Source organism: Homo sapiens, chromosome 15, assembly GCF_000001405.40.
Source record: "Homo sapiens chromosome 15, GRCh38.p14 Primary Assembly".
NCBI lineage: Eukaryota > Metazoa > Chordata > Mammalia > Primates > Hominidae > Homo > Homo sapiens.
Window position 1 is genome coordinate 40,171,176 of NC_000015.10, and position 24,889 is coordinate 40,196,064.

The 24,889-nt window shown below is 38.3% G+C and overlaps 1 protein-coding gene and 1 long non-coding RNA gene across 2 annotated transcripts in view, besides 1 other annotated feature; one reads left to right on the plus strand and one right to left on the minus strand.

Moving 5' to 3' along the window:
• The window catches only part of BUB1B (BUB1 mitotic checkpoint serine/threonine kinase B), a 60,055-nt gene that overhangs the window by 10,107 nt on the left and 25,059 nt on the right, over positions 1–24,889 (plus strand). The window contains exons 5-8 of the mRNA NM_001211.6: positions 5,302–5,498; positions 12,539–12,708; positions 13,990–14,204; positions 14,376–14,467. Of these exons, the coding sequence (NP_001202.5) occupies positions 5,302–5,498; positions 12,539–12,708; positions 13,990–14,204; positions 14,376–14,467 (674 nt within the window). The remainder of the gene's footprint in view (positions 1–5,301; positions 5,499–12,538; positions 12,709–13,989; positions 14,205–14,375; positions 14,468–24,889) is intronic.
• The window catches only part of LOC107984763 (uncharacterized), a 67,810-nt gene continuing 43,637 nt past the window's right edge, over positions 717–24,889 (minus strand). The window contains exons 2-3 of the long non-coding RNA XR_001751506.2: positions 8,853–9,026; positions 717–3,309 (exon numbers count right to left, since the gene is read on the minus strand). This is a non-coding gene — a long non-coding RNA (uncharacterized LOC107984763). The remainder of the gene's footprint in view (positions 3,310–8,852; positions 9,027–24,889) is intronic.
• Positions 19,499–19,699: a silencer, noted in NCBI's record as "peak2300 fragment used in MPRA reporter construct". NCBI's record gives its function as "represses an SCP1 promoter by STARR-seq MPRAs in K562 erythroleukemia cells {active_cell/tissue: K562}" and the evidence as "EXISTENCE:reporter gene assay evidence [ECO:0000049][PMID:32103011]".

Consider the following 24,889-nt stretch of genomic DNA (forward strand, 5'->3'; position numbering starts at 1 on the left):
ATCCTCCCACCTTGGCCTCCCAAAGTGCTGGGATTATAGGCGTGAGCCAACACCCCTAGTCCGGATTACTTATTTATTTATTCTAAACATAACTGGGTGCAGTGTTTCATGTCTGTAGTCCCAACACTTTGAGAGGCTGAGGTGGGCTGATCGCTTCAGCCCAGGAGTTCAAGACTAGTCAGGGCAAAATTGGTGAGACCCCATCTCATAAAGTACAGAAATTAACCAGGTGTGGTGGCACAGCACCTGTAGTCCCAGCTACTCAGGAGGCTGAGGTGGGAGGGTCGCTTGAGCCCGGGACGTCCAGACTACAGTGAGCTGAGATTGCACCACTGTCCGCCAGCCCAAGTGACAGAGCAAGATCCTGTCTCAAAAAAACAACCAAAACAGAAAAACATAATTGGGCCATTCAACTGTACTGGAGGAGGAGGTGCAGGAGCTAACATTTGGCAGCAGTGTGGTTGTTTGGGGAAAAACTTCCCTCTGTGATTCTGGTATCCCTTTCACTCCTTTATGAAAGTCATCAACACAAAGAAGTGATATTTTAGTTTTTTATTGGTCTTTGGACTTTTTTCACCTAGTATATTGCTACAGCCAAAAATGTCTGCCTCAGCTGGGCATGGTGGCTCATGCCTGTAATCCCAGCACTACTTTGTACTGTCTTACTTGACATGTAGGAAAAACATATTTTTTATTAAAAAAATGACCACCGTTTGTTAGACATTAATATTACTGCTTTTATTCTAAAATAAATTTAAAAAAATAAACAATAAATATTTGGAATTATTTACAACCACCACAATATGATGAAATATTGACATTAAAACTGATAAGATTTCTTACTAAAATAAATCTCTTGGCATTAAAACTGATAAGATTTCTTAATAAAATAAAGTAAGAAATAAATTTCTTACTAAAATAAAGAAATAAATTTCTTACTAAAATAAAGTAATAAAGTAAGAAATAAATTTCTTACTAAAAGTAATAAAGTAAGAAATAAATTTCTTACTAAAATAAAGTAATAAAGTAAGAAATAAATTTCTTACTAAAATAAAGTAATAAAGTAAGAAATAAATTTCTTACTAAAGTCTTAAGGAGGACTGATTTTAAACTTCCAATACAGTTGACCCTTGAACAACACAGGGCTTAGGTGTGCCCACCCCTCACCCAGTTGAAAGTCTGCATATAACTTTTGGCCCCCAAAATTATTAATAGCCTACTGTTGACCAGACGCCTTACCAATAACATAAAGTTGATGAACACATAGTTTGTATGCCATATGTATTATATCTTTTTTTTTACAACAATCTTAGCTAGAGAAAAGAAAATGTTATTAAGAAAATTATAAGGAAGAGAATGTATATTTAATAGTCATTAAGTGGATGATTGTAAAGATCTTCATCCTCGTCTTCACATTGAGTAGGCTGCGGAGGAAGAAAACGGGTTCGTCTTGCTGTCTCACGGGTGGCAGAGATGGAAGAAAATCTGTATATGTGAACCTATGCAGTTCAGACCTGTGTTGTTCAAGGGTCAACTGTAGTTACAAGTATAGAAAATTAGGTAAATCCTGAAGCCATGAGGTATCTTGATTTCCTCAGGACATTCGACAAATATTTTTACATCCTTAGTGAAAGGTTGGAGAAATTACCCTATGGATATTAGTTACAGAAACTTATAATGAAGAATGGCACCCAAAGAATGCTAAACAGATTTGTTAGCCTGGAGTCTGTGGACCCTGGTGGTGTAACAATGGATTTTGTCCTTCATTTGTCACTAGCCTAAATAATATCTTTACATGTAATTTATTATAAGATTGGAGACTGGGTGTGGTGGCTCCCACCTGTAATCCCAGCACTTTGGGAGGCCAAGGTAAGTGTATCATCTGAGGTTAGGAGTTCGAGACCAACCTGGCCAACATGGTGAAACCTCATCTCTACTAAAAATACAAAAAATGCAAAAATTAGCCGCACGTGGTGGTGCGCACATGTAATCCCAGTTACTCGGGAGGCTGAGGCAGGAGAATCGCTTGAACCCAGGAGACAGAGGTTGCATGAACTGAGATCATGCCACTGTACTCCAGCCTGGGCGACAGAGCGAGACTCAGTCTCAGAAAAAAAGATAAAAAAAAAAAAAAAAAAAAAAGATTGGACTAGCTGCACCTCTAAAGTGACTTTTAATCCCAGGATTCTATGATTATATTTAATTGGAGTTGTTAAAAGTAACAATTAATTAGAATAATTTATCTGTTTATTTTTGATAACCTGGTGCTTGTACTGAAGAAGAATAATATCATGAAGTAAAAAGCATAATCTAGATCAGTGCTACTGAAAGAAGGGTTTGCATACTGTTTGAGATAAGTTCAAAAATTGAAAGTGAGCTTTTGGAAACTTTGGTAACAATTTGATATTGCCGGGACATCCAAGCACATCATCATTCTTTGAGTAACTTCTGTTTTTATTGTACTTTATATCAGTCCATAATGGAACACACACATACACACAATAAAACTGGCCCCTTCGCCACAGATTTTTTGAGAAGCACGGGTATAGACAACCATCAAATTCAAATGATCAGCACTAGAATGATCAGCAATAATCTGAACTTTGTATGTGGCTAACGAGGTACATATTAAACTATTGCTTTTTCTTTGTGGGTCTGGTCAAGAGGAGTAACAGATGAATTCTTCACACTACTTTCTTTCGCTTTGCAGAAGGATTTCTCCAGTCAGTTATTTTATGTGACTCCTACAGTCTAGCTAAGGAAAAAATTGTTTCTGGAAAACTTCTGGTATTTTTATTTAAAGGTATAAAATTATTTTAGTTTGGCAATTTAAGGGTTACCAAAAAAAAGGTTTATTTAACTTTTAGATCTATTAATCTAACCATATAGTCCTTTTATTTATGTTATTTCTTAAGTGATCTTATTCAGCACTCTGAATAACCTGATCTTTACTGGCTGTCCCACGCACAAGAACACCAGAACCATTCAGAAAGCTCTCAAAATAGTGAAATCAATGTTAAGCTATATTTATGTAGTGACAGATATCAAAGACTGGATCTTATGCTGGTAGCACATTCAGAGTTATAACTTTTCTTGAAACACCACCACATATGAGAAAACATCACTAATTTAAATAAGCAAGAAAAATCCATTTACTGAATTACTGCAAAATTAAACTATAAAATACTAATTATTTTTGTTAAAGATATAAATAAAACATTCCATTTATTTAGCATTTGTTGTACTAGACCATGATTAAGGGCTGGCATATCATAGCAATGTCTTCTGAGTTTGTAGAGCTTAGTTTATCTGAAAGACAAATATGAAGCCATTAATTGTAACTGTAACAGAGAGAAAATTACGAGTTCTATAGGAACAAATACAAGACGGACTTAACCTGGGCTAGACAATTAGGAACAGATAAATAGGAGATATTTGGTAAAGTAACAAATGGTAGCTTCTCTAGTAGTAACAGAACTCCTAACTAGAACATTGAAATGCTATTTTTGACCAGGCATGGTGGCTCACACCTGTAATCCCAGCACTTTGGGAGGCCGAGGTGGGTGGATCACCAGGTCAAGAGATGGAGACCATCCTGGCCAATATGGTGAAACCCCATCTCTACTAAAAATACAAAAATTAGCCAGCCGTGGTGGCGGGCGCCTATAGTCCCAGCTACTCGGGAGGCTGAGGCAGGAGGATCACTTGAACCTGGGAGGCGGAAGTTGCAGTGAGGCGAGATCGCGCCGCTGCACTCCAGCCTGGGCGACAGAGTGAGACTCTGTCTCAAAAAAAAGGAAAAAAAATGCTATTTTTATGTGAATTTAGGGATTGTTTTTAATAGCTTCTAATGCTGATTAGAGTCTGGTGGAATGAGTATTTTTGCGAATTATTAAATTTTAGCATTAACAATTTTTACAACCTTCTCAGAAAGCAATTTGTTACCTTTTAACATAGTTCTAGGAATTTCTCTTAAGGGAATAATGTAAAATGTGAAAGGTTGTATGCATGAAGTTATTTTTTATAGAATTATTTATAATTGGGCAAAATTAGAAGTTGTTTAAATATCCAGAAGTAGATGAACAATTAAATTATGGAAGCTCTATTAGATGAAACATGATGCATTCATTTAAAAATAATAGTGAAAAGAATTCGAGGTTGCAGTGAGCTATGATTGCGTCACTGCAGTCCAGCCTGGGCAACAGAGCAAGACCTTGTCTGTAGAAATAAAAAAAAATTAAAAATAATGGTTAAGTGTAAGCAGCAGCGTGGAAAAGTGAATGATGCAGTATTATAGTGGAATAAAAGCAAATTTTATTATGATCAAAACTTTATAAGATAATACATATCCTTTCATCCTTAAGGGAAAAAAGACTGAAAAAATTTATCAAAATGTTTGTGATGTGAGGTTTTTAGTGATATTTTCCTCCCTCTTGCTAATAGAATTATCTACATTGTATATGGTCTCATAATGTCCCTTCTAAAACACAGATTTGACTATGTCATTCCTTTGCTTATCGCTCACCCACCCTAACACATACAACAATTACTATTAGGCAGATTCAAAATTGATTAGCTTGATATTCAAGACCTATCACAGCCTTTTTCTCCAGACAACTATCTAGCCTGGACCCCTACATAACTTTTAATTTTCTGTATCTTTGCTTATGCTATTTTCTCTGGCTGAAATACCCTTCCCTTCCCATTTTCCACCTGATAAAAGTCCATTTCTCCTTCAGGGCTAAGCTCAAATGTTAACCCCTTCCTCCCCCCTTTTTTTAATTTTCTTTAGAGACAGGGTCTCACTCTGTCACCCAGGCTAGAATGCAGTGGCACCATCATAGTTCACTGCAGCCTCAAACTCTTGGGCTCAAGTGATTCTCCTGCCCCAGCCTCCTGGGTAGCTAGGACTACAGGCGCCTTCCACCATGCCCAGCTAAAGTTTTAAATTTTGTTGTAGAGACAGGGTCTTGTTATGTTGCCCAGGCTTGTCTCAAACTCCTAACCTCAAGCGATCCTCCTACTCCTACCTCGGCCTCACAAAGTGCTGTAATTACAGGCAGAAGCGACTGCACCTGGCTTATTACTCCTTCTTGAAGCCTTTACTCTCCAACTCTTCTTACAAATCGCTCAGTTTTGCCTCTTTTTTAGGTCCTCCCAGTATGGTCCTTATCACATTGTAATAATAGATTTTTTTTTCAATACAGGAATTGCATGTAGTATCTCCAGTGATTGTTTGGCAACTAATAGGCATTCAATACGTGAGTAGAAATTGGTTAACTGTTAACACTTCTGTTACAGGGGCGTTTATGCAATGAGCCTTTGGATATGTACAGTTACTTGCACAACCAAGGGATTGGTGTTTCACTTGCTCAGTTCTATATCTCATGGGCAGAAGAATATGAAGCTAGAGAAAACTTTAGGAAAGCAGATGCGATATTTCAGGAAGGGATTCAACAGAAGGCTGAACCACTAGAAAGACTACAGTCCCAGCACCGGTAAACTTTCTTTGGAGCTTGTCTTAACTCTAAAAATAATAGAAATAAATTATCTCTTTTTTGCATCTGAATAAAGTGCTTTCTGGTGGATTGGCATGTTAAGTTTACTTAGTTACTATTCAATTTTTTTAAAGATATATTTTAAAAATTTTATTTATCATAGAGTAAAATCCACTCTTTGGTATATGGTACTAGGAGTAAAAAGACTTGTGATCATCATCATTAACAAGATACAGAATAATTTCACACCCCCCAAAAGAATTCCCTTTGTAATTAGTACCTATGCTGAACCCAAACCCCTGGCAAACACTGATTTATTCTCCAGCCTGTGGTTTTGCCTTTTCCAGACTGCCATATAAATGGAATCGTATAATATATAGCCTTTTGAGTTTGGCCTGTTTGATTTAGCATAATGCATTTGAGTTGTAAAAGTTCTTTATAGATTGTAAGTATAAGCCTTTGTCAGATATGTGATTTGAAAATATTTTCTCTCAGCTTAAGCCTGGTCTGTTCATTTTCTTAACTGTCTTTTTTAGAACAGAAGTTTTTAATTTTAAAGAAGTCTAATTTACAAGTTTTTCTTGTATGGATCGTGCTTTTGATGTTGTGTCTGAGAATTTTTTGTCTAGCCAAAGATTGTTACAGAGATTTTCATCTTCAAGTTTTCATCTTCAAGTTTTATAATTTCACTTTTTACATTTAGATCCCTGATCCATTTTGAGTTAATTTTTGTAGAGGATAGAGGTTAAGGTTCTTTTTTAGCATATTAATGTTCATTTGTTCCAATGCCAATTGTTGAAAAGACTAACCTTTCTCCATTGAATTGCCTTTATACCTTGATTTTTAAAAAATCAGTTGATCATATTCATGTAGGTTTATTTCTATTATTCTATTTTTTCTACCGATGTACGTGTCTATCCATTAGTGTTTACCATGCTATCTAGATTACTATACCTTTTATAGTAAGTCTAGAAATCAGATAAAATGAGTCCTCTAACTTTATTCTTATATTTAACTCTGGTAGTTCATTTGACTTTCTATATAAGTTTTAGAATCAGCTTTCTGGGATTTTGATTAGGATTATACAGGAATATGGTATAATTCTCCATTTATTTAGGCTTTTTTTTTTTTAAGTAAACTTTGGTAGATTTTTGTCTTTCAAGGAATTGATCCATTCATCCAAGTTAATGAGTTTGTGGGCATAGAGTTGTTCATAATATTCCCTTATTATGCTTTTAATGTCTGTAGGTTATATAGTGATTCTCCCTTTCTCCTGATACTGGTAATTTATGTCTTCTCAGTCTGGCTTGGATATCAATTTTACTGATTGTTTTAGAAAACCAGCTTTTGGGTTCATTTCATTGATTTTTTTTTTTTTTCTCTTAATGATTTTCTGTTCTTAATTTTATTTCTGCACTTTATTTCTTCCCGCTTGCTTTGGATATAACTTGCTCTTCTTTTTGTAGTTTAAGGTGAAAGCCTAGATCACTGATTCTAGACCTTTCTCTTTTTCTAATATAAGCATTTAATGCTCTAAATTCCCTTCTAAGCACTGCTTTAGTTGTATCCCACAAGTTGTGATATACTGTATTTTCATTTTAATTTAGTTCAAAATATTTTCTAGCTTACCCCGTGTCTTCCTTTTGACCCATGAGTTACTTAGAAGTGTATTACTTCAGTTAGGAAGTGTTTTTGGATTTTTCAGATATCTCTGTTATTGATATCTAGTTTAATTCCATAGTGGTCAGAGAACATAAGGTATATGGTTTCAAGTCTTAAATTTGTTAAGGTTTGTTTTATCACCCAGATTATGGTTTATCTTGGTGAATGCTTCATGTACACTTGAAAAATATGTGTATTCTGTTTTTTAGAGTGTAATATTCTGTAAATATAATTTAGGGCAAGTTGACTGGTAGTCTGTTCTGGTCTTCTGTATCATTGATGACTTTCTGTCTACTTGTTATATCAATTACTAAGAAGGGTTTTGAAGCCTCTTTGTGATTTTGTCTATTTCTTTTAGTCCCATCAGTTTTGCCTAATATATTTTGAAGTTCTTTTAGATGCATAAACATTTAGAATTGACCCCTGTATCATTATATAATGTCTCCCTTTATCCCTGATAATACTCCTTATTCAGAAGTCTACCTGGTCTGATATTAGTACAGCTATTCCAGCTTCCTTTTTGTTTGCATGATACATCTTTTCCCTTTCTTTACTTTTTAAAAACCACATTAAAAAAAAACCACTCTTAGAGTTGTATAATCATCATTACAATCTAATTTTAGAACATTTTTAACACCCTAAAATGAACCCCATGCCCATTAGCAGTCACTCTCCATTCCTACTTACCTCGCTCCTAGGCAACCACTACTCTGCTTTTTGTCTCTATGGATTTGCTTATTCTGGACATTTTAGTTAAATGGAATCCTACAATACATGGTCTTTTGTGATTGGCTTCTTTTACTTAGCATACTATTTCCTTTTTTTTTTTCCAGGGAGGGAAGGGTGGAACAGGGATTTTCAGCATACTGTTTTCAAGGTTCATCATAAATGAACATAGTTGTGACATGTATCAGTACTTTATTCCTGTTTATTGCCGAATGATATTCCATCATATGAATATTATTTATCCATTCATCAGTTAGTGAACATTTAGGTTGTTTGCACCTTCTGGCTATTACAAAATAATACTGTTATATTTGCGTAACAGGTTTTTGTGTCATTTTCTTTTTACCCTTTTGTTAAGCTAGTTGAATTTAGCAGTGGAGGGTTATATACCAACTTTAGTGACACTTATGTTAATTAGCTTCTTTAACTTTTAACCTATGTCTTTATATTTTTTAAGTGGGTTTCTTATACACAGCAAATAGTTGGGTCTTGTTTTTTCTGTGAACTCTAACAATATCTTTTTTGTTATGTTGAGACCATTTAATAGAATTTTTAATATTGTTGGGTTTAGGTCTACTATTTTATTATTTGTTCCATGCCTTTTGTTCCTCTTCAGCCTCTTTCCTACCTTCTTTTGGATTATCTGAGTGTTTTTTAGTATTTCATTTTAATTTGTGTTATTGGCTTTTTGCCTCTTACAACTTTAAGTGGTTGCTATAAGGTATATAATATACCTAAACTTTCACATTCTACTTAATGTTTTACCATTTAAAGTAAAATACAGAAGCTTTATAACCATAAAAGTTCCTTTATATTCCCTACCCTTTTGGTATACTTGTCATAGGTATTACATCTATATGCATTGAAAACCCCACCAGACAATATTTTGTTTTGCTTTCAAAAGCCATATATATATATATATATATATCTCTTAAATAACTTAGGAAAATAGTCTGTTGTGTTTACCCTTTTTTTTGTTGTTGTTTTTTCTTCATTCCTGAAGCTCCAAGTTCCCTTCTAGTATCATTTCCCTTCAGTCTGAAGAACTTCTTTTAGCCACTTTCTTTTAGAGCAGGTCCGTTGTCAATTAATTCTCCTAGTTTTTCTTCATCTGAGAATGTCTTCATTTCATCTTCTTTCCTGAAAAATATTTTTACTGGATATAGAATTCTGGGTCAACGTTTCGTTTCTTTTTTTTTTTTTTTTTTTTGAGATGGAGTCTTGCTCTGTCACCCAGGCTGGAGTGCAATGGATGGCACGATTTCAGCTCACTGCAACCCCCACCTCCCAGGCTCAAGTGATTCTCTTGCCTCAGCCTCCCGAGTAGCTGAGTAGCTGGGACTATAGGCATGCGCCACCACACCCGGCTAATTTTTGTAGTTTTAGAAGAGATGGGGTTTCATCACATTGGCCAGGCTGGTCTCAAACTCCTGACCTCAAATGGTCTGCCCACCTTGGCCTCCCAAAGTGCTGGGATTACAGGCATGAGCCACTGTACCCAGCCAACATTTCTTTTCTTTCACCACTTTAATGATGTTATCCCACTGTCTTCTGGCCTCCTTGGTTTCTTTTTTCTTTTTCTTTTTTTTTTTTTTTTTTTTTTTTTGAGACGGAGTCTCGCTCTGTCGTCCGGGCTACAGTGCAGTGGCGCAATCTCGGCTCACTGCAAGCTCCGCCTCCTGGGATTACGCCATTCTCCTGCCTCAGCCTCCCGAGTAGCTGGGACTACAGGTGCCTGCCACCACGGCTGGCTAATTTTTGTATTTTTAGTAGAGATGGGGTTTCACCATGTTAGCCAGGATGGTCTCAATCTCCTGATCTCGTGATGAGCCTGCTTCGGCCTCCCAAAGTGCTGGGATTGCAGGCATGAGCCACTGCGCCCGGCCCTCTCTGGTTTCTAATAAGAAATCTGTAGTCATTTAGTAGTTCCTGACCTATACATAATGTGTTGATTTTCCTCTGGCCTTGTCCAAGATTTTTTCTTGTTTAGTTTTGGTTTTCAGAAGTTTGATTGTGATGTGTCTAGATGTGATTTTTTTTTTTTTTTTTAGACAGAGTCTAGCTCTGTTGCCTAGGCTGGAGTGCAGTGGCACGATCTCAGCTCACAGCAACCTCCACCTCCCGGGTTCAAGTGATCCTCCTGCCTCAGCCTCCTGAGTAGCTGGGATTACAGGCATGCGCCACCATACCCAGCTAATTTTCTATTTTTAGTAGAGATGGGGTTTCTCCATGTTGGTCAGGCTGGTCTCCAACTCCCAATCTCAGGTGATCCACCCGCCTCGGCCTCCCAAAGTGCTGGGATTACAGGCGTGAACCACCACGCCTGGCCTAGATGTGGTTTTCTTTACATTTAATCTGGGCTTCACTGGGCCTTTTGAATTTGTAAATGTATGCCTTTCACAAAATTTGACAAGTTTTCAGCCGTTATTTTTAAAATGATTTTTTATACCTATTATCTCTTTCTTCTTTCTCTCTCTGAGACTTCAGTTGCACAAATTTTAGACCATTTCCCCCGACTCTGCTACCAATAATCTGTCCAAATTAAACCTTTTGATATCATTCCATAGGTCCCTGAAGCTCTGTTTAACCATTTTTCTTTTTGTTTTTCAGATTGGCCCATTTTTATTGCTCTGTCTTCAGGTTCACTTATTCTTTTCTCTTCCATCTCCATCCTGCTATTGAAACCATTCAACATAAATTTTTTATTTCAGATACTGTATTTTTCAATTCTAAAATTTCTGTTTCATTCTTTTTTATAATTTCTGTTTCTCTGTTGAGAATTTCTGTCTCTCCATTCATTTCAAATGTTTTTACCTTCATCTCATGGAACATAGTTATATTAGGTACTTTAAAATCTCCAGGCTGGGCACAGTGGCTCACGCCTGTAATCCCAACACGCTGGGAGGCCAAGGCGGGGGAATCACTTGAGGTCAGCAGTTTGAGACCAGCCTGGCCAATATGGTGAAACTCTGTCTCTACTAAAAATGCAAAAATTAGCTGTGCATGGTTGTGGGTGCCTGCAATCTCAGCTACTCGGGAGGCTGAAGCAGGAGAATCGCTTGAACCCAGGAGGCAGAGGTTGTAGTGAGCCGAGATTGTGCCACTGTACTCCAGCTTGGGTGACAGAATGAGACTCCATCTCAAAAAACAAAATAAAATCTCCATCTGAAAACTATACCATCTGGGTCATTTTATGTTTGCATTTGCTTATTGTTTTTTCCTTTGAAAGTTGGTCACATTTTTCTAGTTCTTTGTGTGTCAAGTAATTCTTGTACCCTGGACATTTATCCTGACCATATGTTATAAGACTCTGATCCTGTTGGCCAATATTCCCTGGAGAATATCTATGTTTTTGTCTTAGTAGACAACCACACTTCAGATATTACAAGTTCTTTGTCATCTTGTGTGGCTGTTGGTTCCACTGTCAGTTCAGTTTTCAAGACCTTTGCTGTGTTGCTTTGGGTCTGTCCCATGCATGTCCTGCTTAAGGGTTAATCTGGGGCTTGGGCAGTGGTTTATATCATTGTTCAGTTCTCAAAGCCTTTTCTGTGCTGCTTTGAATCTACCCTGTGCATGCATAGCTCAAGAGGGAACCTAAGATGTATGCCAATTCACATACAGAATTAGGAGATCCTCTTGTTCAGCTCATTCCTTTGCAGTTCTCCTCCCATATTCTTTGGCCTTCAGAGTCCTCTTTTCCCAGTCCTCAGGCCAGAAAGATGGGGTTTCTCTGAGTTTTACATTCACATACCACCACTGCAACAGTTCAAAACCACAAGAGAAAATAGAAGAATAAAAAAACAGGAAACAATCCTGCGTGGGTTGTTTCTTCAAGTTTTGACCCCTCTCCACAGTCTGCTTGCTTTTGTTGACTTTTCAGAGCCCTCAGTTAGTTGCTTTTTTTGTATATGGTCTATAGTTTTTAATTCCTATCAGTGAGAGAAAGAGAAAAGGTACAGTGGGCATACTCCATCTTGGCCAACACCTGCAATTTATTCTGGGTTTTTTGGGGTTTTTTTTACCCTTATGATAATACTTTTTAAGGCTAGTTAAATGAAGCAGTGGTAGGAATGGAGAATCTCTTCTGATAATACTTAAAACTGTGGCAGCAGCATAGGAAGTTTACTTTTCAAACTTCTGCCAGCTTTGCTAAAGTACAATGTCATGTCATATGCAACTTCATTTCATATAGGTCAGGAGAAACCGTATATGTGTGTGCGTGCACGTGCGCGCATGCATGTGTATAGAAAAAGAGACACAGTGATAAAATAGATGTGGCACAGTGTTAACAATTGGTGGGTCAAGTTTTCTAATAAAAAGTTAGTGGGAAAACTCTAATCTTAATAAACTCTGTGATCTTAGTCTTAATAACCCTAACCTGATCCTCAGATCAACTTAATGGTGATTTTCAGAATAATTTAAATTGGTCAAACTTGGGCATTTAAAGGGAGAGTTAAATAATTCTAGCCAAAACTTTTCATGATCTTAAGGTGACTCTCTTTACTTCTGAGAGAATAAACATGTTCTTTGGGATATTTCTGCATTCTTCCCCCAGCCTGCTCTTCTAATTTGTTTACTTTAACAAATTGGAAATTTTGAGTCTGGTAAAATAGTGGTCACCTCACTAAAAGTTGTGCATTCTGCTACTTTAGACAATTCCAAGCTCGAGTGTCTCGGCAAACTCTGTTGGCACTTGAGAAAGAAGAAGAGGAGGAAGTTTTTGAGTCTTCTGTACCACAACGAAGCACACTAGCTGAACTAAAGAGCAAAGGGAAAAAGACAGCAAGAGCTCCAATCATCCGTGTAGGAGGTGCTCTCAAGGGTAAGTTTGTTAAACGTTATTTCGGAAAACTGTTAGTTTCTAGTGGTAAAATCATGTAAGAAGATAATACATAAATATACCTGTGGACACTTCTAGTTTGCTGAATACTGAGTAGCAAAAAGAAGGAAGTCAAAGGAGAGCTAATATTACAGTGTGCAGTAAAATCAAAATGCATCAGTAATTTTGTGTCTTAATTAAGAAAGACCTAACATTTAGGAAGCATCAAGATTTTCTGAGTTTGAATTGTTAGTTGAAAGAAGATATGTAGTAACATAGCAGGTGTTGTTAAAGTGAAGCTTACATATACCAAAGCCTCAGAGAATGATACTAATATGGTTAAGAACCCTGCCTTCAGAGCCCTTTGGGACCAGAAATTAGACTCTCTATATACCCAAAGATCAGCAATAATTTTTTTTAATTAACATGGACTTTTTTTTTTTTTGAGAGATAGGTTCTCGCTCTGTTGCCTGAAACGTGGTAGTGCAATCATAGCTCACCGCAGCTTCAAACTCCTAGGCTCAAGCAGTTCTTTTGCCTCAGCCTCCCAAGTAGCTAGGATTATAGGTGTGAGCCACTGCATCTGGACAACACTGACTATTTTTTAGAGTAGTTTTAGGTTCATAGCAAAATTGAGCAGAAGGTACAGAGAATAATAAGCTTTTATTTACTAAATTTATAGCAGTTAGACATGTAAACCAGGCTGTTTTTTTAATCTCTTATTTCTTTCCTGGTATCAATTTATCAATAATCAGAATGTTACTTGGTGGTTCTAGAATTAGGATATAGGGAGTGTATGGTCCCAAAGGCTATTTCATCCAGATCATGATGAAGCTTGGTTAATAACCAGCCCCACAACAGAGAAAACCCCTAATAAATGGGTTAATTTTGTATTCTCTAGTTCCAGTATATCTCTGCTGATTTCCATTGAGAGAAAATTTAAAACTGAAGAATAAAACTTAGGTTAGTTTCTGATAAAACTAGATAATGTTATAATGATGACTGAAGGAAGATGCAGAATGTCTTTTTTGGAAATTTGTGAATAAAAGATGTGGGGTGACTGGAGGAGGGAAAAGAAGGCAGAATATAAGTAACAAAGAATGGATAAAACGATTCTATTTTTGATTTATTAATTTTTTTAAAGATTATTTTTAAAATTTCTTTTTTTTTTTCTGTTGTAGTGGAAATACTGTCCTTGAGTTGAGGAAGAATAGGTATACTTTATCTGGCATCTAAGTTAATAATGAAACATTTTACATGAGGTTTTAATATTTTTGCTCCTAGCTCCAAGCCAGAACAGAGGACTCCAAAATCCATTTCCTCAACAGATGCAAAATAATAGTAGAATTACTGTTTTTGATGAAAATGCTGATGAGGCTTCTACAGCAGAGTTGTCTAAGCCTACAGTCCAGCCATGGATAGCACCCCCCATGCCCAGGGCCAAAGAGAATGAGCTGCAAGCAGGCCCTTGGAACACAGGCAGGTCCTTGGAACACAGGGTAAGGACTCTTAGATCCAGTGCTTTGCTGACACAACAAAGACTTCACATTTAGGGTAGAGAAGTATTTTTACCATCTCTTTTAATTCCTCTTGAATATTTAGCCATGGTCTATATATGCTGTCTGAGAACATAAAACTATGGTAATTTTAGTTTTCTTCTTCATCTCCAGCCTCGTGGCAATACAGCTTCACTGATAGCTGTACCCGCTGTGCTTCCCAGTTTCACTCCATATGTGGAAGAGACTGCACGACAGCCAGTTATGTGAGTGTGGTTTTTGGATATTTTGAAGTGGGAATTATTAAGGGTGGGCAGAGGCACCTATTCTACTTCCCAAAGGCAGTTTCTTCTTTATGAAGATGAAAGTAACCAGGCCAGGCGCAGTAGCTCACACCTGTAATCCCAGCACAGGCTGAGGCAGGAGGATCCCTTGAGCCTAGGTGTTCAAGACCAGCCTGGGCAGCCTAGTGAGACCCTGTCTCTATTTATTAAAAAAAAAAGTAACCAGACAAAATTTTGTATATCCTTTATGTTTGTATTCCTTTGAGTATGTTAGGGTTAAAAGACCATTTGTTAATATTTTATTAAGGAATAAACATTAATTAGGTTTATATTTTCATTACTGAACATTGCTTTAGGAAAATCAATGGTGGCTATTCTGGAAGATGGATTGAACATACATAAATAAGCTATTGGAATAGTTCAGGCAAGGATATTAAGGGGCGGTATTTGGGCAGGGTAGTGGTAATGAAAGGAGAAGGGAGCTTGGATGGGAGAGGCTTCAGCAGTAGAGTTAGAAGATTTGTCTGATGGGATAATGGGGATGTAGGGAAAAGATAATGTGATTTAAATGAGACGTTCTCATTTTGTCATTGATAGTAATGAGAAATTATGATAGTTTTCCCTCTTATCCTGCTTTTTCCTTCTGGACATATTTTTCCTCTTTCTTCCTAATCCTTAGCATTTCTGTTTTTAAGAAAAAGTATAGTAGCTGGTGGTTAAATAAACAAGCCAGCCTGAGATTTAGTCTAATGCTTAACATTGCCTAGTTCTTTTTTTTTTTTTTTTTTTTTTTTTGAGATGGAGTCTCGCTGTGTCGCCCAGGCTGGAGTGTGGAGTGCAGTGGTGCGATCTGGGCTCACTGGAAGCTCTGCCTCCCAGGTTCACGCCATTCTCCTGCCTTAGCCTCCCAAGTAGCTGGAACTACAGGCATCTGCCACCACGCCCAGCTAATTTTTTTTTTTTTTTAGTGGACACGGGGTTTCACCGTGTTAGCCAGGATGGTCTCGATCTCCTGACCTAGTGATCCGCCCGCCTTGGCCTCCCAAAGTGCTGGAATTACAGGCGTGAGCCACTGCGCCCAGCCCTAGTCCTAATACTAGGTTGAATTCTGTCCCAGTGCAAGAGTTACCTCATAACTAATTTATAACTCCCACTACATGCTAGGAATGCAAAAATAATAATTAAGATTTTGAGCAAAAATTCTGCCTAAGTGCTCAGGACAAGGGGAAGGCTATTTTTTTTCTTTTTTTTTTTTTCTTTTTAAACAGAGTCTTGCTCTGTTGCCCAGCAGGCTGAAGTGCAGTGGCACCATCTCAGCTCACCGCAACCTCGACCTCCTGGTTCAACGGGCATGGCAGCCCACGTTTGCCATCCCAGCACTTTGGGAGGCCAAGGTAGGAGAATCACTCCAGGCCAGGAGTTCGAGACCAGCCTGGGCAACATAGCAAAAACCTGACCCTACAAAACAAATTTTTTTTTTTTTGAGACGGAGTCTTGCTCTGTTGCCCAGGCTGGAGTGCAGTGGCATGATCTCAGCTCACTGCAAGCTCTACCTCCCAGGTTCACGCCATTCTCCTGCCTCAGCCTCCTGAGTATCTGGGACTACAGGCGCCTGCCACCACGCCTGGCTAATTTTTTCTATTTTTTAGTAGAGACGGGATTTCACCGTGTTAGCCAGGATGGTCTCGATCTCCTGACCTCATGATCCGCCCACCTCAGCCTCCCAAAGTGCTGGGATTACAGATGTGAGCCACCGCACCCGGTCAACAATTTTTTTTTAATTAGCTGGGTATGGTGGTGGGTGCCTGTAGTCCTAACTACTCGAGTGGCTGAAGCAGGAGGATCACTTGAGCCCAAGAATTTGAAGCTACAGTAAGCTATGATCATGCCACAGCACTCCAGCCTGGGCAACAGGGCAAGAACCTATCTCTAAAAAATAAATCAATTATAATAATAAAGAAAAATCAGCTTGGCATCGTGGCTCATGCCTGTAATTTCAGCACTTTGGGAGGCTGAGGTGAAAGGATCGCTTGAGCCCAGGAGTTCAAGACCAGCCTGGGCAACACAGGGAGACCCTGTCTCCACAAAAAATTTAAAAATTAGCCAAGTGCAGTGGCTTGCACCTGTGGTCCCAGCTACTTGGGAGGCTAGGGATCACTTGAGCCCAGGAGTTTGTGGCTACGGTGAGCTGTGACTGCACCACTGCACTCTAGCCTGAGTACAGAGTGAGACCTTGTCTCAAAAATAAATAACGAAAATAAAAAAGAAAATCCTATGAGCCTTTATAGAAATGGATAACATACATTTGTAGATGTCTGGTTTTTCTAATGTTTCAAGTCATTTTGTAGAAACATGACTTATGTTAAAATTAATATGGTACAGGAAATATTAAACTTATTATTTTTGAGACGGAGTCTCACTCTGTTGCCCAGGCTGGAGTGCAGTGGTGCAATCTTGGCTCACTGCAACCTCCACCTCCTAAGTTCAAGCAATTCTCCTGCCTCAGCCTCCTGAGTAGCTGGGATTACAGGTTCGGGCCACCACGCCCGGCTGATTTTTGTATTTTTAGTAGAGACAGGGTTTCACCATGTTGGTCAGGCTGGTCTCGAACTGACCTCGTGATCTGCCTGTCTCGGCCTCCCAAAGTGCTGGGATTACAGGCATGAGCCACCATGCCCGACCTAAACTTATTTTTATTTTAAATTCTTTTCCATGGATGTTTTATTTGACCTCTCCACACATTTTTCTTTAGGTTGCGTTTTGCTTAGTGATGTATAGAAGCTCTTCATAGATGAAGAAAATCAGCTAAAAATCTATAATACGAGTTGCAAATATTTTCCCCCTACTTTGTCCTTGTCTTTTGGCTTCATGTAGCAGTAACCATTATGCTTTTAATTATCATACAGTCAAATTTAAGTTTTCTTTTTTTTTTTTTTTTTCGAGACAGAGTCTTGCTCTGTTACCCAGGCTGGAGTGCAGTGGCGCCGTCTCAGCTCACTGTAACCTCCGCCTCCCGGGTTCAAGCAATTCTCCTGCCTCAGCCACCCGAGTAGCTGGCATTATAGACGCCCGCCACGACGCCCAGCTAATTTTTGTATTTTTAGTAGAGCCATGGTTTCACCATATTGGCCAGGCTGGTCTCGAACTCCTGACCTCGAGATCTGCCCGCCTTAGCCTCCCAAAGTGCCGGGATTACAGGCATGAGCCACTGCACTCAGCCTTTTAAAGCTTTTTTTTCTTTTTTTTTCTAAACTTCATCGAAATATAATTCCGTGGCTTTTAGTATGTTCACAGAGTTGTGCAACCCTTACCACAATCAATTTTAGAGCATTTTTATCACTCCAGAAAGAACCTTGTACCCATACCTGTAAGACTCGATTCCCCACCATTACCCCAATCCCCACCCTAGCAACCAACTGTTTTTTTCTCTATAGATAATTTACCAATTCTAGACATCTCGTGTAAATAATATAATATGTGGTCTTTGTTTTTTTTTGTTTGTTTGTTTTTTGTGTTTTAGACAGAGTCTTGCTCTGTCGCCCAGGCTGGAGTACATTGGTGCAATCTCTGCTCACTGCAACCTTCGCCTCTCCAGTTCAAGCATTTCTCCTGTCTCAGCCTTCTGAGTATCTGGGACTACAGGCATGTGCCACCACTCCTGGCTAACTTTTGTATTTTCAGTAAAGACAGGCTTTCACCACGTTGGCCAGGCTGGTCTCAAACTCCTGACCTCAAGTGGTCCGCCCACCTCGGCTTCCCAGACCGCTGGGATTATAGGCGTGAGCCACTGCGTCCAGGCAGTGTATGGTCTTTTCTAACTGGTTTCTTTCACTTAGGGTAGTGTTTTCAAGGTTCATCCACGTTGTGACATGTATCAGTACTTCATTATTTTTTATTGCCAAGTAGTATTCCGTTGTGTGGCTTCACAACATTTTATTTAACCATTCATCAGTTGATACAAATTTTAATTGTTTTCATTTTTTGGCTATTATGGATAATGCTGCTGTGAATACCGTGTATACATTTTTGTGTGGACATGTGTTTTCGTTTTTCTTGGCTGTATACCTAGGAGAGGAATTGCTGGATCGTGTGATTAACTCCATGTTTAATATTTTGAGGAACTGTCAAATTGTTTTCCAAAAAAGCTGTACCATTTTACCTTCTCACATTCCCCTAATGTACGAGTACTCCAATTCCTTCCCAACACTTGTTATTATGCTTTTTTGGTTATTGTCATTCTAACAGAGATGTGAAGTGGTATTTCGCTGGTTTTGATTTGCATTTTCCTGGTGACTAATGATGTTGAGCCTATTTTCATAGGTTTATTGGCCTTTTGTATATCTTCTTTGGAGAAATGACTGTTTAAATCCTTGGCCTATTTTTCCTTTGGATTACAGTAGTCCCTCCTTATCTGTAGGGGATACGTTCCAAGACTCCAGTGGATGCCCGAAACTTGATAGTACCAAACCATTTATATACTATGTTTTATCTTATACATGCACTGTGGCCATAACTTTTGCAGTTTGAGGTATGACAGCAAAACTAACTTTTTTTCCTTCTTCACAATTTCACTGATAGAAGATTCATTCTTACTGTAAATCTTATCAACTTCAGCATGTGATTTATTTTTTATTTTTATTTTATTTTTTTTAGTGAAAGTTGAGGCTGGGCATGGTGGCTGATGCCTTTAATCTCAGCACTTTGGCTCTGGGAGGCTGGGGCAGGAGGATTGCTTGAGACCAGGAGTTCAAGACCAGCCTGAGCAATATAGTGAGACCCCATCTCTACTAAAAATAAAAATACACTGGCTGGGCATAGTGGCACATGCCTATGGTTTCCGTTACTATGGAGGATGAGGTGGGAGGATTGTTTGTGCCCAGGAGTCTACGGCTGCAGTGAGCCAGGGTCACGCCACTGTACTCCACCCTAGGCAACAGATTCAGATCCTGTCTCTAAAAATAAAATAAAACAATAAAATAAAAGTTAAGAACTTTCACCTTTGGCATATCCAAATCATCAGCATCGCTACTCTTGTGCTTTGGGGCCATTATTAAGTATAATAAGGGTTACTTGAACACAAGAACTGCAATGCTGGGACAGCTGATCTGATACGAGTCAGCTGCTAAGTGACTAATATGTGGATGCTGAACAAAAGGATGATTCACATCCTAGGTGGAACAAAATGGGAATATATGGGATTTCATCAGGATAGTCAGAACGCCTTGTAATTTTTTTTTTTTTTTTTGAGACCGAGTCTCACTCTGTTGCCCATTCTGGAGTGCAGTAGTGCCATCGTGGCTCACTGCAACCTCAGCTTCCCGGGTTCAACCGATTCTTGTACCTCAGCCTCCCAAGTAGCTGAGATTACAGGCTTGTGCCATCACACCCAGGTAATTTTTGTGTTTTTAGTAGAGACGGGGTTTCGCCATATTGCCCAGGCTGGTCTCGAACTCTTGGGCTCAAGTGATCCACCCGACTCAGCATCCCAAAATGCTGGGATTACAGGCATGAGCCACTGCGCCTGGCCAGAATGACTTGTAATTTAAAACTGATGAATTATTTCTGGAATTTTTCACTTAATATTTTTGGACCACCATTGACCATAGATAACTGAAACTGCTGAAAATGAAACCATGAGTAAGGGGAAACTACTCTATTTGGTTTTTTATTGTTGAGTTTAAGAGTCTTTTATGTATTCTAGATACAACTTCTTTTCGGATACATGATTTGCAAATATTTTCTCCCATTCTGGGTTGTCATTTTATTTTCTCAATGATCTCTTTTGAAGACCAAAAGTTATTTAAAATTTTGATGAAATGCAATTTATCTGTTTTTTAAAATTTTGTCCCTGAGCTTTCACTGTCATATCTAAGAAGGCTCTGACTAATCCAAAGTCATGAAGATTTGCTTTTATACATTTTCTTCTAGGAGTTTTATAGTTTTAGCTCTTATATTTAGGTCTGTGATCCATTCTTAGCTAATTTTTGTGTATGGTATAAGGAAGGAGTCCAAATTCATTTTTCTTCATGTGGATATCCAGTGGTCCCAGCACCACTTGTTGAAGACTACTCTTTTGCTATTGAATGGTCTTGGCACTCTTGTTGAAATATCAGTTGACCAAAATGTATGAATTTATTTCTAGACTCTTAATTCTATTCCATTGATCTTTTTGTCTATCCTTATGTCAATACCACACAGTCTTTTTTTTTTCCCCTACACGATCTCGATTACTGCAGATTTGTAGTAACTTTTGAAATTGAGAAGGATGAATCCAACTTTGTTCCTCTTTTTAAAGATTGTTTTGACTATTCTGATTCTCTTGTAATTCCTTATACATTTTAAGATTAGCCTGTCAATTTCTGCAGAAAAGCCAGCTGGAATTTTGATAGTGATTCTGTTGAATCTGTAGGTTAATTTAATGATATTGACATCTTAAAAATATTAAGTCTTCTGGTCCATGAACATAGGATGTCTTTCCAGTTATGTATGTCTTTGAATTCTTTCAGTGTTTTGTAGGTTTCAGAATACAAGTTTTGCACTTCTTTTTCTTTAATTAATAGACTTTATTTTTTAGGGCAGTGTTAGCTTTGCAGAAAAATGGAGTAGAAAGTACAGAGAGTTCCCACATACTCCATCCCCACCCCTCAACCCTGTACACAGTTTTTCCTATTACTAACATCATGCATGAGTGTGGTACATTTGTTATAATTGATGAACCAATATTGATACATTATTATTGGTTAAAGTTCTTTGTTTACATTAGGATTCACTCTAATGTGTTTTACAGTTCTGTGTGTTTTAACAAATACATAATATTATCTATCCATCATTACGGTGTCATTCAGAATTGTTTCATTGTCCCAGAAATCCCCTTTGCTCCATTTGTTCATCCCTTTCTCTCTCTCCCCAAATCCCCTGTAACTATTGATCTTTTCATTGTCTTTATAGTTCTGCCCTTTCCAGAAAATCATGTAGCTGGAATCATAGTATATGTAGCCTTTTCAATCTGGCTCCTTCCACTTAACAATAAGGTTCCTCTGCATCTTCTTCTGACACAATACCTCATTTATAGTGCTGAATGATATTCCATTGTATAGATGTGCCACGATTTGTTTATCCATTCGCCCACAGGAGGTCATTTTGGTGACTTACAAGTTTTAGCAATTATGAATAAGGTTGCGGTAGACATTCATGTGCAGGTTTGTTTGTTTTAAATAGTCTTGTTCTTTCACCTACGCTGGAGTACAGTAGCATGATCCTGGCTCACTGCAGTCCTGACTCCTGGACTCAAGTGATCCTCCCACCTCATCCTCCCTAGTAGCTGGGACTACAGGTGCATGCCACCATGGCTGGCTTATTATTTTTTTTTTTTAAAGATGGGGTCTCACTGTGTTGCCCAGCCTGGTCTTGAACTCCTGGGATCAAGTGATCTTCCTGCGTCAGCCTCCCAGAGCACTGGGATTACAAGCATGAGTCACCACACCCAGCCAGGTTTTGGTGCAGACATAAGTTTTCAACTCATTTGGCTGGATTGTATAATAAGACTAATTTTAGCCTTGTAGGAAAGTGCCAAGTTATTTTTCAAAGTAGCTATACTGTTTTGCATTCCTACCACCCATCAATGAGAGCTTCTATTGTTCCACATCCTTGGCAGCATTCAGTGTTGTCAATATTTTAGATTTTAACCACTCTAATAGGTGTGCAGCAGTATCTTATTGTTTTAATTTGCAATTCCTTAATGACATCTGGGAAGCATCTTTTCATATGCTTACTATCATCTTTTTTTTTTTTTATATGCTTATTACCACTTTTTTTTTTTTTTTTTTTTTTTTCCCTTAGAGACAGTGTCTCACTCTGTTGCCCAGGCTGGGCTCAAGCAATCCTCCTGCCTTATCCATCCTGGTAGTTGGGACTATAGGTGCATGACACCATGCCTGGCTAATTTTTTTTTTGAAGACAGGGTCTCAGCCGGGCGTGGTGGCTCATGCTTGTAATCCCAGTACTTTGGAAGGTGAGGCAGGTGGATCATGAGGTCAGGAGTTCGCCAACATGGCAAAACCCCATCTCTACTAAAAATACAAAAATTAGCTGGGCGTGGTGGCAGGTGCCTGTAATCCCAGCTACTCGGGAGGCGGAGGCAGGAGAATCGCTTGAACCTGAGAGGCGGAGGTTGCAGTGAACTGCGATCATGCCATTGCACTCCAGCCTGGGTGACAAGAGCAAGATTCTGTCTAAAAAAAAAAAAAAAAACAGGGTCTCACTGTATTGCCCAGGCTGGTCTTGAACTCCTGGCCTCAAGTGATCCTCCTGCCTCAGCCTCCCAAAGTGCTGGAATTACAGGCCACTGTGTCCAACTTCCATCTATATGTCTTCTCTCACTTCCTTATTTTAAATTTATTGTGAAGTATTTTACTATTTTTGAAGCTATAGTAAATAGAATTGTTTTCTTAATTTCATTTTCTTTTTTCCCCTTTTTTACATGCTGCCTTGAGATGTGATTTAATTTTATTTTCAGATTGTTCATTGCAAATGGGTAAAATAGGTTGATTTTGTATACTGATCTTGTATTCTTTGACTTTGATGAACTCGTTTGTTATCTAAGACCATATCTTCTGCAAAAAGAGATAGTTTTGCTTCTTCCTTTCCCATCTGGACTCCTTTTCTTTGTTTCTCTTGCCTAATAGCCTTGACTAGAACTTCTAGTACAGTGTTGTATAGAAGTGACAAGAATGGACATCCTTGTCTTGTTCCTGATCTTAGGGGGAAAGCATCTAGCCTTTTACCATGAAGTATGATGTTAGTGTGGGTTTTTCATAGATGTCCTCTAGCAGGTTGAGCAAGTTGGGGAAACTTTTTAAGCATGTAAATGCTTGGACCCTACCATTACAGTTTTTGATTCACTGAGTCTGGGAAGGACCGGTATCTTTAGTTGTACAAAGGTATATAAGAAAATAAAAGGTATATAAGTTATTCTGATCCACAGGGTTGAAAATACCTGCTATATCATGGTTGAGGTATCTTATACTTCATTCTTTTAAAAGCTATGCTGCCACTCTGATTCTTCCCCCTCAGCTGAGCACCTTGGACTTAATATTATTAGGTTCCTAATGCTATATTCTTAACTCTAATTCTTTTGGATACTAAACCATGAAAAATGGATTGTATTGCATAGGTTAATTTCTTTTTATATACTGGTTATGATGAGGATATGGTATTAAGATTTGCTTTCACCTATAAGTAATATAAGCTACTTGATTATCCCACTTATGGCTAATTTCCTTCCTTATCATAGCAGAGGTGGTACTCAGAACATAATTTTATTTTCCTTTTTTTTACATTTCAATAGGTTTTGGGGAACAGGTGGTGTTTGGTTACACAAATAAGTTACTTAGCGGTTATTTCTGAAATTTTGGTGCACCCGTCACCTGAGCAGTGTACACTGTACCCGATGTGTAGTCTTTTAACCCTTACTCCCCCCATCCTTTCCCCCAAATCCCCAAAGTCCATTGTATCATTTTTATGGCTTTGTGTCCTTATAGCTTAGCTCCCACTTATAAGTGAGAACATATGATGTTTGGTTTTCCATTCCTCAGTTACGTCACTTAGAATAATGGTCTCCAATTCCATCCAGGTTGCTTCAAATGCCATTTTTTTGTTCCTTTTTGTGGCTGAGTAGTATTTCATGGTAGATATATACCACATTTTCTTTATCCATGCATTGATTGATGGGCATTTGGGCTGGTTCCATATTTTTGCAGTTGTGAATTATGCTGCTAAAATATGCATGTGCAAGTATCTTTTTCATATAATGACTTCTTTTCCTCTGGGTAGATACCCAGGAGTGGGATTGCTGGATCAAATGGTGGATCTACTTTTAGTTCCTTAAGGAATCTCCGTACTGTTTTCCATAGTGGTTGTACGAGTTTACATTCCCCCCAACAGTGTAAACGTGTTCCCGTTTCACCACATCCATGCCAGTGTCTATTATTTTTTGATTTCTTTATTATGGCCATTCTCACAGGAGTAAGGGGTTATTGCGTTGTGGTTTTGATTTGCATTTCCCTGATAATTAGTGATGCTGAACATTTTTTCATATGCTCGTTGGCCATTTGTTTATCTTTTGAAAATTGTCTATTCATGTCCTTAGCCCACTTTTTGATAGGATTGTTTGTTTTTTTCTTGCTGATTTGTTTGAGTTCCTGGTAGATTCTGGATATTAGTCCTTTGTCGGATGCATAGATCGTGAAGATTTTCTCCCACTCTGTGGGTTGTCTGTTTACTCTGCTGATTATTCCTTTTGCTGTGCAGAAGCTTTTTAGTTTAGTTTAGCCCCATCTAATTATCTTTGTTTTTGTTGCGTTTGCTTTTGGGTTCTTGGTCATGAAGTCTTTACCGAAGCCAATG